Here is a 19558-nt window from a genome sequence, read left to right as displayed (position 1 = left end):
ACAAAACAGAAACAGTAATCTCTTTTTAGTATTTCCCTCTTGAATTGCTCTGGAGTAGATTAGATTATTATGGACTATTCTATCTGCTGTGACCATAGATAGTGAGGCTATTTTAGAAGGCTAAAATATAAAAAACAGAAGTTGGCTGGGCGCAGTGGCTCACGCCTGTACTCCCAGCACTTTGGGAGGCCAAGGTGGGCTGATCACAAGGTCAGGAGTTCGAGACCAACCTGACCAACACAGTGAAACCCCCATCTCTACTAAAAATACAAAAATTAGATGGGTGTGGTGGTGTGTGCCTGTAATCCCAGCTACTCAGGAGGCTGAAGCAGGAGAATCACTTGAACCCGGGAGGCGGAGGTTGCAGTGAGCCAAGATCGCACTATTGCACTCCAGCCTGGCAACAGAGCGAGACTCCGTCTCAAAAATAAATTAAATAAATAAATAAATAAATAAATACAGAAGTTAACATTTACTAGTATGTATTGTGTGTCAGGCAGTGTTTTAAGTGCTTTACTCATTTATTCATTATCTCATTTCATCCTGTCACTTATGAGGTAGATACTGTTACTGTCTTCACCTTAAAGCTGAGAAAAGTGAGGTGCCAGATTAAGTAATTTGCCCAAAGTCACATTGCAAGTGGCAGCTTCAGGATTTAAACCTAGGCCTATGCTATTGACCAGGGGAGTGCTGGCCTAGTTAATAACTCTTAAAAGGTTTACTAGGGTAGTGAGAATTTATATAAGACATAAAAACCAAATATCTCCTGAAAAAGTCACTGTAACTATTTGATTTTGTTTGCCTGTGTGAAGGAAAATTTGAAATCATGTATCTTAAGTATGGGAAAAATGACATGAGATGATTATTCATAAATAATTATTTTTCTTGACCATGCTTAAATGAATATTGCTGTTTTGCTTCATTATGAATCATTTATAGTAGATAGAAATCACCTAACTAGCTAAAGAACGACATATTTTGTTTGTTTGTTTGTTTGGTTTTTGTTTGTTTGTTTTTTGAGATGGAGTCTTGCTCTGTCGCCCAGGCTGGAGTGCAGTGGCGTGATCTCGGCTCACTGCAAGCTCCGCCTCCTGGGTTCACGCCATTCTCCTGCCTCTGCCTCCCGAGTAGCTAGGACTACAGGCGCTCGCCACCACTCCTAGCTTTTTTTTTTTTTTTTTTGTATTTTTAGTAGAGACGGGGTTTCACCATATTAGCCAGGATGGTCTCAATCTCCTGACCTCGTGATCCACCTGCCTCAGCCTCCCAGAGTGCTGGGATTACAGGCTTGAGCCACCGCGCCCGGCCAGAAGAACATATGTTTAGAAAGGATTAGAGTTGGTTTGTAGATTGCTATTTAGCTGCTATTCATAGAAACTTGCAGACAGAAAGATTGAACTGTGCAGCAGTTTGGAACTGATTGATAATTGGAAATTGCTCTTTCATCCTGTTAAATAATATTTGAGTGACAGTCAGCAGAAAGTTGTAGAGGAGAAGAAAAGCCAGGAGAAAGGTGACTTACAGGTCGTGTAATTAGAATGTGATGGCCTAAAGAGTAAATGTGCACTAACAATTGACATTTATATAGGAACTAGGAGGAATTGTAGTATGTGGTTTTTGTTTTGGGGTCTGGCTTTTCTTTTCTTCAAATAGCAATTCACTTCTTGTTAAAATATGGTAAAGTACAGCGTAAGCGACAGTTAAAGTAACAACAAGTACACTAATAAAATGTCTTGGCCCTCCTATAAGTGTGGTTGCAGGTAGTCAGTGATGTTTTTCTCTTTTTCTCTCCATCTTTTTTTACCCCTTTCCCTTGTTTGAGAATCTCTTCTGAATATTGATCAAAGTTATGGCCCTTATTGCACATATCTTTCAAAACAATGTCTTAAAGGGTGGTCTGGGGCCCCTCAAGATCCTTTCAGGGGCTGATGAAGTTAAAACAATTTTCATAACAATTCTAGAATTTCTACCCTCGTTCTCTTACGAGTGTGCAATGAAGTCTTCCAGAGGCTACATAATGTGCAGTTGACTGAACGCAGAAGCAGATAGGAGAATACAGCTGTTTTCCTTAATCCAGACTTTAGAAGATTAACAAAAATGTAAAATAAGGCCACTCTTCTCATTAGATTTGCTGTGATGAGCACTGTGGTTTCTTTCTATCTCAGAACATTGTAATGATCCCAGTGTGGGTTGAAAGTCATGATGTCTCTCCCACTGATATGTACCAAACTCAGAATGTTGTTTGTATGAGTTGCTCCCAACTTTGGACAGGCCCTTTCATGTTCTTTCAGCCTTTTGTTTTACATTATTAACTGAACACCCACTGTGTTCTAGCCCTGTTCTATAAAAACAAAAAAAATCTCTACCATCATGGAGCTTATGTGCTATTAACAGCTTCCATTTTAGCCTTTGAGTGCTTTGCCTTAGACACAGCTGCCTCTTTAGGGGAATCTCAGAGTTGATAGCACTGGTGTGTCTCAGTGGCTGAGTGCTGAGGATAGAGTGGCTTGACATTTTGCCAATTTCGATTATTAAAAAAGGCACCATGCAGGGCCGGGTGCAGTGGCTAACGCCTGTATACCAGCACTTTGGGAGGCCGAGGTGGGCGGATCACGAGGTCAGAAGGTCGAGACCATCCTGGCTAACACGGTGAAACCCTGTCTCTACTAAAAATACAAAAATTGGTGGGACGTGGTGGTGGGCGCCTGTAGTCCCAGCTACTTGGGAGGCTGAGGGAGGAGAATCGCTTGAACTTGGGAGGCGGAGGTTGCAGTGAGCCGAGATCGCGCCACTGCACTCCATCCTGGCGACAGAGGGAGACTCTGTCTAAAAAAAAAAAAAAAAAAAAAAAAAGGCACCATGCTTTGGAAGGCTGAGGTGGGAGGATTGCTTGAGGTCAGGAGTTCTAGACCAGCCTGGGCAACATAGTTAGACCCAGTCTCTGGGGGAAAAAAAAAAAAAAAAAAGGCCAGGCATGGTGGCATGCACCTATAGTCCTAGCTACTCAGGAAGCTGAGGCAGGAGGATGGCTTGAGCTCAGGAGTTCGAGGTTACAGTGAGCTATAATCACATCACTGCATTCAAGCCTGGGCAACAGAGCAAGACCCTGTCTCTTAAAACAAAAAAACAAGCCGAGCATGGTGGCTCATGCCTATAATCCCAGTATTTAGGGAGGCAGAAGCCAGAGGATTGCTTGAGTCCAGGAGTTTGAGACCAGCCTGGGCAATATACTATGACCCACTCTCCAAAAATAAAAATGAATAAAAACATAACAAAGGCACCACATGGTTTAGGATTTTTCAAATTTTACGTGGAACCCCAGCGTAACAATAAAGATAGGCCTATCCCGCTGTTCTTTTGGTTGATTTTACCTTGTTTTGCTTTCAAAGTTAGTGCTAGTTTTGTCAAGAAATAAAGAAAATGAGGGCTGGGTGCTGTGGCTCATGCCTGTAATCCCTGCACTTTGGGAGGCCAAGTTGGGTGGATCACCTGAGGTCAGGAATTCAAGACCAGCCTGGCCAACATGGTGAAACCCCGTCTCTACAAAAAATACAAAAATTAGCCGGGCATGATGGCGGGTGCCTGTAATCCTAGCTACTCGGGAGACTGAGGCAGGAGAATTGCCTGAACCCAGGAGACAAAGGTTGCAACAAGCCGAGATTGCACCATTGCACTCCAGCCTGGGCGACAGAGCAAGACTCCATCTCAAAAATAAATAAATAAATAAATAAAAATAAAAAAAATGAGATACCAAAGGATGTTAAATTTATTCTAATTGTTTTTTATTATTTGAAGAAAAATATTCTTAAATGCGTGAGATTTTCTTTGCCTGGTGAGTTGTTCCCCAAACCCTGTAATTTATTTAATAGAGTTTTATACAAAAAGATATGACTTGGCTCATTAGATTGAGTCACTTAATACTGACTTGAAGGTTAACTAATATGGCTGTCAGACTCTTTGCTCACTGGCTAGATGTCTGTCTTATCACTCACTAACTTCAGCCGTTTCTAAATACTGACAACTGGAATGCCATTAGAATATTAATGGAAAAAGAAACTGACATTTAAAACGTGAATGACCCAAATTTTTTTCCAAAAATTATTTTAATTTTAAAATATACTTTAATAGAATTTTTTTTTAATTGGGTGGCATTTTGGCCTTCCCTTCATTGAAGGTGTGAAAGGAGATTTTTGTTTTGTTTTGTTTTGAGACGGAGTCTCACTCTGTCGCCGAGGCTGGAGTGTAGTGGCGCGATCTCAGCTCACGGCAACCTCCGCCTCCCAGGTTCAAGTGATTCTCATGCCTCAGCCTCCTGAGTAGCTGGGATTACAGGCATGTGCCACCACACCCAGCTAATTTTTGTTTTTTTAGTAGAGACAGGGTTTCACCATGTTGACCAGGCCGGTCTCGAACTCCTGACCTCAGGTGATCCGCCCGCCTCAGCCTCCCAAAGTGCTGGGATTACAGGCATGAGCCACTGCACCCAGCCCTATTTTTTCTGTCCTTATGAATTTATGCCCTTTTTAAAACCCCTTTATTGTGATTTTAAGAGGGAAAAGAGGTAAATATATTCATTCTGCTTTGTTTTACTGGAAGTCCAGGGTTTAACATATGTTATCAAGTGCCTGCAAAATACTAAGAATTGTGTTAGACATTTGGTCTTTTCTCTAATTTAAAAATCCCATCAAATTCTGTTGAGGTTTATGGCCAGGTGTGGTGGCTCAGGAAATCCCAGCAGTTTGAGAGGCTGAGGTGGTAGGATTGGTTGAGCCCAGGAATTTGAGATCAGCCTGGGAGACACAGTGAAACTGTCTCTACCAAAAAAAAAAAAAAAAATTACAAAAATTAGCCAGGTGTGGTGGCACATGCCTATAATCCCAGCTGTTCCAAGGGCTGAGGTGGGGTGATCACCTGAGCCCGAGGAGGTCAAGGCTGCAGTGAGCTATGATCATGCCACTGCACTTCAAAGTGGGTGAGGGTGAATCAAAAATAAATAAATACTGAGGTTTAGAAAATTCATTTGCATTAATGTTGTTCATCTAATTTTTTGAGCACCTTCTATATGCTAGGCACTATCACGTGCTAGGCACTATCACATACATTATTTTATATAATCACATCAACTCTGTGAGAACATTAAGACAAATTCAGGAAAGTTAAATAATAAATTTAACTTATACAGTGCCTAGCTGTTGGATATTAGATAGCTGATGTGGTTTTTAAGCAGGGGAATCAGTACAGAATGAAAATGCTGTTTTTGTTTAATACCCGTGATAATACTTAAGATTTACTGTAGTAGATCCAGAAAGATCGGAGGCGTCAAGATCCACTAGCAATTAAAACAGTAATAATGCAGGCATGCAGCGTAAGGACAGATTTGGGGCAAGGGTATAGCAGTGGAAATGGGGAGGGTGACTAGGTTCAAGAAGTCAAGAAACAAGGGGAGCATTTGAATTCATACTCTTAAATGAGCTATCATAATGAAGAGCCTAGACTAGGATCTAATACTCCCATTTCTGAATACAAATTAGTAGGCTTTAGTAACTGACTTGATTGTGACATGAATAAGGAGTTAAAGAGAAAGTCAGGTTTTCAAGACAGGTAAATAGGAGTGCCATATCTAGAACTGGAGGAAGGTAGGAAGAAGTGCTGAATTAAGGAGCAGCTAGTATATTTAAATATTAAGTGTGAGAGGCCAGGTGCGGTGGCTCACATCTGTAATCCCAACATTTTGGGAGGCTGAGATGGGCGGATTGCTTGAGGCTAAGAGTTCGAGACCAGCCCAGCCAACCTGGCGAAACCCCATCTCTAATAAAATACAAAAAAAAATTAGCCAGGTGTGGTAGTGCACGCCTGTAATCCTAGCTACTCTGGAGGCTGAGGCATGAAAATTGCTGGAACCTGGGAGGTGGAGGTTGCAGTGAGCCGAGATCACACCATTGCACTCCAGTCTGGGCGACAGAGTGACTCTGTCTCAAAATAAAATAAAGTCAAACAAAATAAATATTAAGTGTGAATTTCATGGTTTGTTAAAGATATGAACATCTAACATGTCTTCTGTATTCCTCTGTTTTTTGATATTTGTCTGAATGTGCTGTAAACATATCATACACTATTAAAAAAATTGAGTTCATTAAATCACATTGTTTCCTTAATGTACTCTTATTTTTAAGCTGATCTTTTAGTATTTTTAAATCTGTAGTTTGAGGACCATCTTTTCCTTTTGAAACCATGTACTCTGATTTCATTAGAACACAAAATATTTTTAGAAATCAATTTTACAAGGCTGAGAGCCCAATAGAAAAGACATGAATTGACAGTTCACATAAAAAGAAAAAATAGATCAATATTCACTATAACTAAAGATGTACAAACAAAATATATGTATATATTATTTTTCAAATGTCCTATTGAAACATATTTAAAGATATATCAGTCTCCAGTATTAGGGAAATGCATTCTCAAATACTACTGGTGGGTAATTAGGGGATAGCGTAAATTAGTGTAACCTTTTGGAGGCCAGTTTGATGATCTCTATCCAAAATTTAAATGCATATATCCCTTGACACAGCAATTCATTTTCTGTAAATTATGTCATAGATGCACTTGTGTAAGTGTCCCATGATAGATACCCAACCATATCTGTGGTGTATTGTTTATAATAATGAAACACCAAAAATGGCATAATTCTCCTCTCATGGGGGCTAGTTAAATGCATTATGCAGTTCATAGCATAGCATATGCTACAGTCTTTAAAAAGAGTGACATGGCCGGGTGCGGTGGCTCATGCCTGTAATCCCAGCACTTTGGGAGGCCGAGGTGGGCGGATTGCCTGAGGGACAGGAGTTCGAGACCAGTCTGGCCAATATGGTGAAACCCCGTCTCTACTAAAAATACAAAAAAATTAGCCGGGCATGGTGGTGTGCACCTGTAATCCCAGCTACTTGGGAGGCTGAGGTAGGGGAATTGCTTGAACCAGGAAGGTGGAGGTTGCAGTGAGCCGAGATCACTGCACTCCTGCCTAGGCAACAGAGTGAGACTCCATCTCAAAAAAAAAAAAAGAGTGACGTAAAGCCAGATATATGGGAAAATGTATAAGATATATTAAGTTAAAAGAGGAAAAATTTAGAATAACATACAGGATACAATTTACATTAAGCATTATGTTTCTAAATGCATAAAATATTCTTGGAAATGTGCCCCAGAAGGATGCTCAGTTAACAGTAGTTACCTCTAGGGAAGCTACTGGAGACAGAAAGCAGCGGGAGAATACTTATAGAATTTTAATGTTCTATACTTATATTGGATTTATTTATTTATTTGTTTTGAGACTGAGTCTCACTCTGTCGCCCAGGCTGGAGTGCAGTGGCGCGATCTTGGCTCACTGCAAGCTCTGCCTCCTGGGTTCGAGCGATTTTCCTGCCTCAGCCTCCCAAGTAGCTGGGACTACAGGCACCTGCCACCATATCCAGCTAATTTTTTGTATTTTTAGTAGAGACAGGGTTTCACCATGTTAACCAGGATGGTCTTGATCTCCTGACCTCGTGATCCGCCTGCCTCGGCCTCCCAAAGTGCTGAGATTACAGGCGTGAGCCACTGCGCCCGGCCCTGGTTTTATTTTATTTTTATTGTTATGTTTTGAGGCAGAGTATCACTCAGTGTTGCCCAGCCTGGAGTGCAGTGGTGCAATCTCAGCTCACTGCAACCTCCACCTCCTGGTTCAAGCAATTCTCCTGCCTCAGCCTCCCGAGTAGCTGGGATTACAGGCGTGTGCCACCATGCCCAGCTAGTTTTTATATTTTAGTAAAGATGGGGTTTCACTATCTTGTCCAGGCTGGTCTCGAACTCCTGAGCTAGACAATCTGCCTGTCTCGGCCTCCCAAAGTGCTAGGATTACAGGCATGGGCCACCAGCCACCGTGCCTGGCCTATGAGTTCTTTAAAAAATAATAATAATAATCTGCCGGGCGCGGTGGCTCACACCTGTAATCCTAGCACTTTGGGAGGCTGAGGCAGGTGGATCACGAGGTGAGGAGATTGAGACCATCCTGGCCAACATGGTGAAACTATGTCTCTACTAAAATACAAAAAAAAAATTAGCTGGGTGTGATGGTGCACGCCTGTAGTCCCAGCTACTCAGGAGGCTGAGGCAGGGGAATCACTTGAACCCGGGAAGTGGAGGTTGCAGTGAGCCGAGATCATGCCACTGCACTCCAGCCTGGCAACAGAGCAAGACTCCATCTCAAAATAAATAAATAAATAAATAAACAAATAATAAAAACTACAATAATTTTCAAGCATATAAAAACTGATAGTAATTTCTTAATATCATCGAATAGTAGTCAGTGTTCAAATTTCCTCATTTATCTCATTTAAAAAATTGTTTGCTGATTTGAATTAGGATTCCAGTAAAGTTCAAATGTTGCAATTAGTTGATTATTTTTCTCTCTGTCTCTCAACTGCCTCACCTCCTCTCTCTCTCTCTTTCTCTCTCTCTCCCTCCCTCCCTCTCTCCTTGCAAGCTATATGTTAAAGAAACTAAGTCATTAGTCTTGTAGTGACTCTAAAGAAACTAAGTCTAAGTCTTGTAGAGTTCCCCTCAGTCTGAATACTGGTGACTGTATCCCAGTGTTATTGGATACACTGGTGGAAGAAATACTTAATAAGTGTGTATATTTCCATCAGGAGATACCTAATATCTGGATGTCTCTCCTTTTTCTTTTTGTTGAGTAGCCATTGATGGTCATTGCCTAGGTCTGCTAATTCATGACAGTCTTCGGTAAATGGGACTATTAGCTAGTGGCTCTTGCCAATATATTAAGTATTCTAGGATATACAACATTTAGACACAGGTTACACACTTTCTTTTTATATTGTCTGCAACTATTTCCATTGGTATTCTAGTTTATTTTACTGCAACTGCCTTTTAATGGGTCTTCCTGCACCCTTTCATAGTAGTTTAAAGTACTCTTTTCGATCAGAAAGATTGTCTTATTTTTTGAACTCTAATTTAAAAATTACTGTAGCTTTCTCAGTTTTTGTCAGAATATTTTTTCACCTCTGTATGTAAAAAGAATCTTAGACATAGCAATTAATAATTTGCCAAAGAGGACACTGAAGTAGAACGTTATTTGTTTATTCACTCGGTCTTTAATTCAACAAAATTTATTAGGTTCCTGCTCTGTTCTCGGCACGATGTCTTCTTCAGGTTTGTTATAGTTGGGACACAGTCAAGCAGACAGACAATTACAGTACAGCATGGTAGATGCTGAATAAGGGAAAGTACACACGTGCTCGGAGAGCACATAGAAGGTATGCTTAACCCAGCCTTGGAGGGTAGTGGAAGATTTCTTGGAGGAAGGAGTGACTATACCAAGATGTGATGGATAAGTAAGAGTCAGGCTAAGGAAGGAATGGATAGCCAGGGGAATGATGAAAATGTTCTAGGGGAGGGAGCAGCTTATGGGAAGACCCAGAAGTAAGAGAGAATAGTTCCTTTGGGGAACTTAAAATGCTTTAGAACAGCTGGAGCATAGTCATGGGGTAGAGAAAGAGGGATGAACTAGAGAGGTATGCAGGATCAGACTATGAAAGACAAGCCATGTTAAGGAGTTTGGACTTTCTCCCCAAGGCAGTGAGAATGACATATTTGGGTTTTAGGCTGAATGCAGGAAGACCCATTAAAAGGCAGTTGCAGTAATGTGGGCTAGAACTGATGATAGTTTAAATTAGAATCGAGGCAATGGATGTGGAGGTAGTTTTATTCATTCTTTCAGAAAATAAGTACTTAGTATCTTTTTTCTGGTAGGTGCTGTTCCAAGTGCTTGAGATATAGCTGTGACCCAAATAGAACTCTCTGCCCTCATGGAGCTTATCGTCTAGTGGGGAGAATGACTATACATAAGTAAATACATACTATGTTTAGATAGTGATAATTGCTAGGGAGGAAAACAAATTGGGAAAAGGAATAAGAGAGTGTTAAGTGGGGAATGATTTTATAATAGAGTGACCAGGGAAGGCTTCACTGAGAAGGAAACATCTAAGCACACATCTGAATGAAGTGAGGATGGCAAGCCATGTAGATATCTGAGGGAAGAGCATTCTAGGCAGAAAAAAAAAACAGAATTGCACAGTTCTGAGATGAGAGATTGCCTGGTGTGTTGGAAGAACAGTGAGGAGGCCAATGTGGCTCATGGGGAGTAAGTGAGAGGAAGAATAATGAGATCAGAGAGAAAAAGGGGTCTTAGCATCTAGGGCCTGATTGGTCATTATAAAGATATGATGGAGAGAAATAGTCAAAGCTCATAAGGAAGAATTAATAGGATTTGGGAATTGATGGGATATGGGAAGTGGTGAAGGAGGAAGGAATCTTGAGATAGGGAACTATCACTAAGATAGGGAACACAGTGCTCTCATAACATGAACGCTGTGACTTAATTTAAAAGAATAAAGCAGCTGGAGCAGGCAAGCATAGATACCTATTATTGTGTAAATCTCTCTTTTATGACAACCTTGGGGAAGAGGTAATATTTATTACACCCATTATGATGAGGGGGAAGTCTCTCACCATAGAATGGGTTTTCCTTTGGTTTTGGTAGGTCTCTAATTAGGGACAGACTTTGTTCAGCAGCCAGGAAGATACCTGAATGATGGGGCAGCAATGCTAGGCTAAATATGGATGGAGCCCTTAGGATACTGAAAAGTGCTCCCTGATACACAATGCCACATGCTACACACACACACACCCCATTTGCATTTTGTCTGTATCCTCAGTCTTTAAGATGTCTGCTAAATCCCTGGTTGACATTATCATAGTTGAATAGTATAGCAGCTGCTTCTACTGAGAGAGAAGTCACTTTGACTGTGTCTGTACTTAACATGGTTTCAGGAGATTCATCCATCCATTGAATCCTCACTTACTGATGAACTATGTAAGTATGCATGTAATGCCTGTGTTACAGAGATAACAATAACAGGCTCATTATTCCGGGTCTTAAGGACTTCAAAGTCTAATCAGGTGGATAAAGGAAAACAGGAATTACAGTTAGGCATGCCATAATCTTGGGTGTGAAGAAGGTATTAGAATACCAAGGAAGAGTTCCTCATACTCTAGATGAGGTTAGACAAACTTTATTTTTTTGAGACTGGGTCTCACTCTGTTGCCCAGGCTAAAGTGCAGTGGCTGCAACCTCCGCCACCCAGGCTTAAGTGATCCTCCTGCCTCAGCCTCCCAAGGAGCTGGGACTACAAGCATGCACCACTATGCCTGGCTAATTTTTGTATTTTTTTGTAGAGATAGGATTTTGCCATGTTGTCCAGGCTGGTCTTGAACTCCTGAGCTTAAGCGATGCACCTGCCTTGGCCTCCCAAAGTGCTGGGATTATAGGCATGAGCCACCGCGCCCAGATGAGATCTTTCTATAGTAAGATACAAAGAGGGTTAAAAGGAGATAATACGCTGAAAGGAGATAACATGCTTAATACAAATTTTATTAAGCTTTTTGTGTGTTTTCCCTTTACTTCCAGTTTTATTTTTTAGGTAGATGAGTAAATATGCCTCAAGGCCACTGTCACTTTAGCACTAAGATAAATAACTGGTTGAAGAAGGCAGATGTTGATAGTTACACTTTAGCCTTTGTAGTTGAAGATGGCAGCCACTGACCAGCAGTTGCTGTATAGCCAGCAGATCCCTACCAGTTGCACACACTGGTCCTTGATTTGTAGCTGGAAACTCCATGAACAATAGGCTCCCCTTATCCTCAGGGGATACATTTCCAAAACTCCCAGTGGATGGCTGTTTCAGTACCATGGTATCCAGCACCACGGGACAGTAGTGAACCCTATATATACCATGTTTTTCCTGTATATACATACCTATAAAGCTTAATTTATAAATTAGGCACAGTAAGAGATTAACAACAACAATAATAAAATAGAACAACTATAACAATATGCTGTGATAAAAGCTTTGTGAATGTGGTCTTTCTCTGTCTCTCTCAAAATATCTTACTGTACTTGTACTTATGTATTTTCGGACCACAGGTAACTGAAACCTCAGAAAGCAAAACTGTGGATAAGGGAGGAGTCTGCATTGAGTTTGGCACAGTTTGCACCTGGCATCCTCTCTTCAGAAATAAATATATCAGGTGCTTGTCCATGCCCCCTAGGCTTATCTGCCTCTGTGATTTCTCTGAGTCCCCAGTAGTGCTGTATCATTTGAAGTTGCATGTTAGCTTGTCTTCGGAGTGTTTCTTCTGCAAATTCTGCATATCTTTGTTCAACTTACAACACAGCAGCTATTTGGGAATGCAAAGCAAAGGGAAAAAAGTATGTTTGAGGTTTGAGAGAGCGCTGAAATGTTGGAGCTTATTAATATTACAAGTTTTTTTTTTTTTTTGAGACGGGGTCTCGCTCTGTCGCCCAGGCTGGAGTCCAGTGGCGCCATCTCGGCTCACTGCAAGCTCCGCCTCCCGAGTTCACGCCATTCTCCTGACTCAGCCTTCCGAGTAGCTGGGACTACAGGCGCCCGCCACCACGCCTGGCTAATTTTTTTTGTATTTTTAGTAGAGACAGGGTTTCACCATGTTAGCGAGGATGGTCTCGATCTCCTGACCTTGTGATCCACCCACCTAGGCCTCCCAAAGTGCTGGGATTACAGGCATAAGCCACAGCGCCCGGCCTTAATATTACATGCTTTTATTTATTAATTTACTTTTTTTTTTTTGAGATGGAGTCTCACTCTGTCGCCTAGGCTGGAATGCAGTGGCACTATCTCAGCTCACTGCAACCTCTGCTTCCCGGGTTCAAGCGATCCTCCTGCCTCAGCCCCCCTAGTAGCTGGGATTACAGGCATGCACCACCATGCTCAGCTAATTTTTGTATTTTTAGTAGAGACGGGGTTTCGCCATGTTGGCCATTCTGGTCTCAAACTCCTGACCTCAGGTGATCCACCTGCCTCAGCCTCCCAAAGTGCTGGGATTACAGGCACAAGCCACAGTGCCTGGCCTAATATTACAAGTTTTTAAAGCCTTAAGTGTGTCGAGTTTCCAGTGGTGTGAGTGAAAAAAGGGACTGAAAAAAGGTAGCTTTAAATAATAAACCTATAGCATTAAAATGGCGGGATCAGATTGTGTGGCAGTAAGCAGTTAGGTTTTATAAGTGACAGATTAAAAATTTATTCCTTAACCATTTTGCAGAGTGCTAAGGGTCAGAAAATAATAAAAGTACTTTTCTTTTGTTTGTCTGTTTGGTTTTTTTGAGAGAGAGGCTCACTCTGTTGCCCAGGCTGGAGTGCAATGGTGTGATCTCGGCTCATTGTAACCTCTGCCTCCTGGGTTCAAGTGATTCTTGTGCCTCAGCCTCTCAGGTAGCTGGGATTACAGGTGTGCACCACCGCTCCTGGCTAATTTTTGTATTTTTAGTAGAGACGGGATTTCACCATGTTGGTCAGGCAGGCCTTGAACTCCTGACCTCAGCTGAGCTGCCTGCCTTGGCCTCCCAAAGTGCTGAGATTACAGGCGTGAGCCACCGTGCCTGGCCAATAAAAGTACTTTTAATGAAGAAACAGTACTATGCCAAAAAAAAAAAAGTCTCTATAGCAGAAGAGCTCAACATCAGCACTGGTTATTTCCTTGAGAAGCTCTTCCCTAGAAAATTGTGACATTTAAATAATAGAATTATAAGATTAAAAGGCTCTCCTGCCAGGCACAATGGCTCACACCCGTAATCCCAGCACTTTGGGAGGCCAAGGTGGGCGGATCACTTGAGGTCAGAAGTTCGAGACCAGCCTGGCCAACGTAGCGAAACCCCATCTCTACCAAAAAATATAAAAATTAGCCAGGCATGTTAGTATGCACCTGTAGTCCCAGCTACTCAGGAGGCTGAGGGACGAGAATTACTTGAACCTGGTAGGCGGAGGTTCCAGTGAGCTGAGATTGCACCACTGCACTCCAGCTTGGGGAAAAAGTGAGACCCTGTCTCAGAATATAAATAAAAGGCTCTCCAAGGCGTTGTTCTAAGGATTTGATCTAAAACATTGTTTCTCAGACTTTTTGATTTAATGGATCTTTAAAATGCACACGTGTGTGTACACTTACATGCACACACACATATACACCAACCTAAACTAACATCTGCTATCATCAACATGCAAGAAAGAATATTTTAACACCAAGAACATTGGAGACATATAATCTCTTAATAAAGAAACCAGTGTTTCCCAAGAACAAAATAGATAGGAATCTTACCCTGGTGAGTGAAATTATTAGTCTGAAGATTAGTAGTTGGGGAACTCATTCATCTCGACTGGTAGATTAAGATCCTATTTTGGGTTAGAATAAATTACCTTGGGATAGAATGAAATCGCAGGTGATTTATCATATTAGTTGGAAGTATGTTCAGGGAAATCTTAGTTGAACTGTAGTTTATGCTGCTGCTTTTTTTTTTTTTTTTTTTTGAGACAGAGTCTCGCTCTGTCGCACAGCCCGGAGTACAGTGGTGGGATCTTGGCTCACTGCAACCTCCGCCTCCTGGGTTCAAGAGATTCTCCTGCCTCAGCCTCCTGGGTAGCTGGGACTACAGGCGCACACCACCACACCCAGGTATTTTTTGTATTTTTAGTAGAGGTGGGGTTTCACCATGTTGGCCAGGCTGGTCTCGAACTCCTGACCTCAGGTGATCCACCTGCCTCAGCCTCCCAAAGTGCTGGGATTACGGGCATGAGCCACCCCTCCTGGCCTACCCTGCTTCTTTTTTTTTTTTTTTTTTTTTTTCGAGACAGAGTCTCGCTGTTGTTGCCCAGGCTGGAGTGCAATGGCGCAATCTTGGCTCACCTCAACCTCCGCCTCCCGGGTTCAAGCAATTCTCCTGCCTCAGCCTCCCAAGTAGCTGAGATTACAGGCATGCACCACCTTGCCTGGCTAATTTTGTATTTTTTTTAGTAGAGACGGGCTTTCTCCATGTTGGTCAGGCTGGTCTTGAACTCCCAACCTCAGGTGATCTGCCCGCCTTGGCCTCCCAGAGTGCTGGGATTACAGGCGTGAGCCACTGTGCCTGGCCTACCCTGCTTCTTAGTAAGACTCTTAGTGTTTGCCTTGGTACCTTGAGATGGCCTTACCTATCCAGGTTCTTTGTACTTATTTCTCATCTTCTATATGAGATTGTAAACTCTGAGGTCAGAGATCTTACATTGGACAAATGTTTTAGTGCTTATCTTTTTGTGTGTGTGGTAAAAAAACATAAAATTTAACATCTTAAACCCTTCATTTTCAAGAGTACAGTTCACTAGTATTTAGTATATTTGCATTGCTGTGAAACAGTTCTAAAGTTTTTCATTTTGCAACAGTTTTCATTTTGCAAATCTGAAACTCTATACGCATTAAAAAACTCTCCATCCTCTTCCCCAGTCCCTGGCAACCACCATTCTACTTTGTCTCTATGAATTTGACTTCTTTAGATACCTCATATAAATGGAATCATACAGTATTTGTCTTTTTCCGATGGGCATATTTCATTTTGCCTAAAGTCCACAAGGCTCATTTATGTTGTAGCATGTGTCAAAATTCTCCCCCCCAGCTCTTTTTTTTTGAGATGGAGTTTCGCTCTTGTTGCCCAGGCTGGAGTGCAATGGCGCCATCTCGGCTCATTGCAACCTCCACCTGCTGGGTTCAAGCGATTCTCCTGCCTTAGCCTCCTGAGTAACAGGGATTACAGGCGCAGGCCACCATGCCCAGCTAATTTTTGTATTTTTAGTAGAGATGGGGTTTCTCCATGTTAGGCTGGTTTCGAACTCCTGACCTCAGGTGATCCATCCGCCTAGGCCTCTCAAAGTGCTGGGATTACAGGTGTGAGCCACTGTGCCTGGCCAGAATTCTTTCATTTTTAAGGCTGAATAATATTCCATCTCATGTGTATACCACATTTTGTTTATCCGTTTATCCATTGATGGACATTTTGGTTGCCTCCACTTCTTGGCTGTTATGAATAGTGCTGCTATGAACATTGGTGTTAAATATCTCAAGGTCTCTTGAAATTTCATATGAGTTTTAGAATTAATTTTTGTATTTCAGAAAATTGCTGCTGGGATTTTGATAGGGCTTGCATCGAATCTGTATATTGCTTTTGGTAGGATTAACATTTTAACAATACCAAGTCTTCCAATCCAGGAACATGGATATCTTTCCATTTATTTGTGTCTTTAATTTCTTTCCACAATGTTTTATAGTCTTCATCGTCCAAGTCTTTCACTTGCTCAGTTTTATTCCTAAGTGTATTTTATGCTGTTATTAATGAGATTTTAAAAAATTTCCTTTTGAATTGTTCATTGTTAGTGTATATAAATACAGCAGATTTTTGCATATTGATTTTGAATCCTGCAGCTTTGCTGAATTTGTCTATTCTAACAATTTTTTTGCAAACTCGTTAGGATTTTCTTTTTCTTTCTTTTCTGAGATGGAGTTTCACTCTCGTTGCCCAGGCTGGAGTGCAGGGGCACAATCTCAGCTCACTGCAACCTCCGCCTCCTGGGTTCAAGTAATTCTCCTGCCTCAGCCTCCCAAGTAGCTTGGATTACAGGCATGTACCACCACACCCAACTAATTTTGTATTTTTAGTAGAGATGGGGTTTTACCATGTTGGTCAGGCTAGTCTCGAACTCCTGACTTCAGGTGATCCGCCCTCCTCGTCCACCCAAAGTGCTGGGATTACAGCACAGGTGTGAGCCACCGTGCCCGGCCCAGGATTTTCTATATATTAGATCATGTTATCTGAGAACAGATAAATTTACTTCTTTTCTTTCTTTTTTTTTTTTTTTTTTTTTTTTGAGACGAGTCTCGCTCTGTCTCCCAGGCTGGAGTGCAGTGGCGCGATCTCAGCTCACTGCAGCCTCTGCTTCCCAGGTTCAAGCAGTTGTCTGCCTCAGCCTCCCGAGTGGCTGGGATTACAGGTGCCCGCCGCAATGCCTGGCTAATTTTTTTGTATTTTTAGTAGAGATGGGGTTTCACCATCTTGGCCAGGCTGGTCTTGAACTCCTGATCTCGTGATCCATCTGCCTTGGCCTCCCAAAGTGCTGGGATTACAGGTGTGAGCCACCTTGCCCAGCCCAGGTAAATTTACTTCTTTTCCAATTTGCCTAATTGCACTGACTAGAACTTTCAACATTATGTTGAATAGAAGTAGTGAGAGTGTGCATGCTTGGCTTGTTCCTTGTCTTAGAGAAAAGGCTTTTATTCTTTCACCACTGAGTATGATATTATCTGTGAGGGTTTCATACATGGTCTTTATGATTTTGAGGCAGTTTCCTTCTATTTATACTTTGTTTGATGTTTTGTCATAAAAGGGTGTTTTGTTGAATCTTGTCCAGTGCCTTTTTTGCATCAATTGAGATGGTCATCTTTTTGTCCTTATTCTGTTAAAGTGATGTGTTACATTGATTGATATTCATATGTTGAATCATACATGCATTCCAGAAATGAGTCCTACTTATTGATAATATGTAATTCTTTTAACATGCTACTGAATTTTCCAGTATTTTGTTGAGGGTTTTTACCTCAATACTCACAAAGAATATTCATCTGTAGTTATCTTTTCTTGATGTCTGTGTCTGGTTTAGTGTCAGGGTAATGCTGGCATCATAGAATGAGCTTGGAAGTGTTCCCTCCTCCTCAGTTTTTGGAAGAGTTTGAGAAAACTTGGCATTCATTATTTTTTAATGTTTGGTAGAATTCTCTAGTGAAGCCATCTGGTCCTGGGCTTTTCTTTGTTGGCAGTTTTTTGGTTACTGATTTAATCTCCTTACTCATTGGTTTTTTTCAGCTTTTCTATTTCTTCATGATTCAGTCTTGGTAAGTTGTGTGTTTCTAAGAATTTATCCATGGCCAGGCGCGGTGGCTTACGCCTGTAATCCTAGCACTTTGGGAGGTCGAGGTGGGCGGATCAGGAGGTCAAGAGATCGAGACCAGCCTGGCCAACATGGTGAAACCGCATCTCTACTAAAAATACAAAAATTAGCTGGGCGTGGTGGCGCACCTGCAGTCCCAGCTACTCAGGAGGCTGAGACATGAGAATTGCTGGAACCCAGGAGGCGGAGGTTGCAGTGAACCGAGATGGCGCCACTGCACTCCAGCCTGGCAACAGAATGAGACTCTGTCTCAAAAAAAAAAAAAAGAATTTATCCATTTATTCTAGGTTATCCAGTTTGTTGGTGTGCAATTGTTTATAGTAGTCTCTTATAATCCTTTTTATTTCTGTGACATCAGTTACAATTTCCCCTTTCATTTCTGATTTTATTTTATATTATTTATTTATTTATTTTTTTTTTTTTTCTTTCCTTAGAGGCTGAGTCTCACTCTGTTGCCCAGGCTGGAGTGTAGTGGCACGATCTCAGCTCACTGCAACCTCTGCCTCCCAGGTTCAAGCGATTCTCCTGCCTCAGCCTCCCGAGTAGTTGGGACTAGAGGCGTGTGCCACCTTGTCTGGCTAATTTTTGTATTTTTAGTAGAGATGGGGTTTCACCATGTTGGCCAGGCTGGTCTTGAACTCCTGACCTCAGGTGATCCGCCCACCTTGGCCTCCCAAAGTGCTGAGATTACGGGCATGAGCCACCGCACCTGGACCTTTCTTCTTTTTTAATATATGCTTTTACAACCATAAATTGACCTCTTAACACTGCTTTTCCTGTATCCCATATGTTTTGATACATTTTCATTTTTATTTGTCTCAAGGTATTTTCTAACTTCTCTTGTGACTTGTTTGATCCTGTGGCTATTTTAAGAGTGGATTGTTTAATTTCCACATATTTGTGGATTTTCCAGTTTTCCTTGTGCCATTGATTTCTAGTTTCATTTCATTGTCATTAGAAAAGATACTTTGTGCCGGGCACAGTGGCTCATGCCTGTAATCCCAGCACTTTGGGAGGTCGAAGCGGTGGATCATGAGGTCAGGAGATCAAGACCATATTGGCCAACATGGTAAAACCTTGTCTCTACTAAAATACAAAAAATTAGCTGGGCGTGGCGGCGCGTGCCTGTAATCCCAGCTACTTGGGAGGCTGAGGCAGGGGAATCACTTGAACCCGGGAGGCAGAGGTTGCAGTGAGCTGAGATCATGCCACTGCACTCCAGCCTGGCAACAGAGCAACACTCAGTCTCCAAAAAAAAAAAAAAGAAAGAAAAGAAAAGATACTTTGTGTGATTTTAGTCTTCTTGAATTTGTTAAGATTTGTTTTGTGGCCTAACATTGGTCTTTCCTAGAGATGTTCCATGTGCACTTGAGAAGAATGTATATTCTGCTGTTGTTAGGTAGAGTTCTCTATATATGTCTATTAGGTCCATTTGGTGTATAATGTTGTTCAGGTCCTCTCTTTCCATGTTGATCTTCTGTCTGGTTGTTCTGTCCATTATTGAAAGTGGAGTTTTGAAGTTCTCTACTGTAATTGTGTTGCTCTTTTACCCTTCAATTCTGTCTAAGTTTATTTCATATATTTAGAAGCTCTGATGTTTGGAGCATAAATATTTATTATTGTATATCTTCCTGGTTTACCCTTTTATCATGTCATTTTTTATC

The 19558-nt window shown here is 41.6% G+C and overlaps 1 protein-coding gene across 3 annotated transcripts in view, besides 1 other annotated feature; it reads left to right on the top strand.

Annotated features, from left to right (window-relative positions):
• Positions 1–19558, top strand: part of USP49 (ubiquitin specific peptidase 49) — a 105480-nt gene that overhangs the window by 26606 nt on the left and 59316 nt on the right. The gene's annotated exons all lie outside the window — the stretch shown is intronic.
• Positions 9452–9652: a silencer, noted in NCBI's record as "peak5805 fragment used in MPRA reporter construct". NCBI's record gives its function as "represses an SCP1 promoter by STARR-seq MPRAs in K562 erythroleukemia cells {active_cell/tissue: K562}" and the evidence as "EXISTENCE:reporter gene assay evidence [ECO:0000049][PMID:32103011]".

This window comes from Homo sapiens, chromosome 6 (genome assembly GCF_000001405.40).
Source record: "Homo sapiens chromosome 6, GRCh38.p14 Primary Assembly".
NCBI lineage: Eukaryota > Metazoa > Chordata > Mammalia > Primates > Hominidae > Homo > Homo sapiens.
Note: the sequence above shows the minus strand (reverse complement) of the source record. Positions and strands in the feature narration are given on the sequence as shown.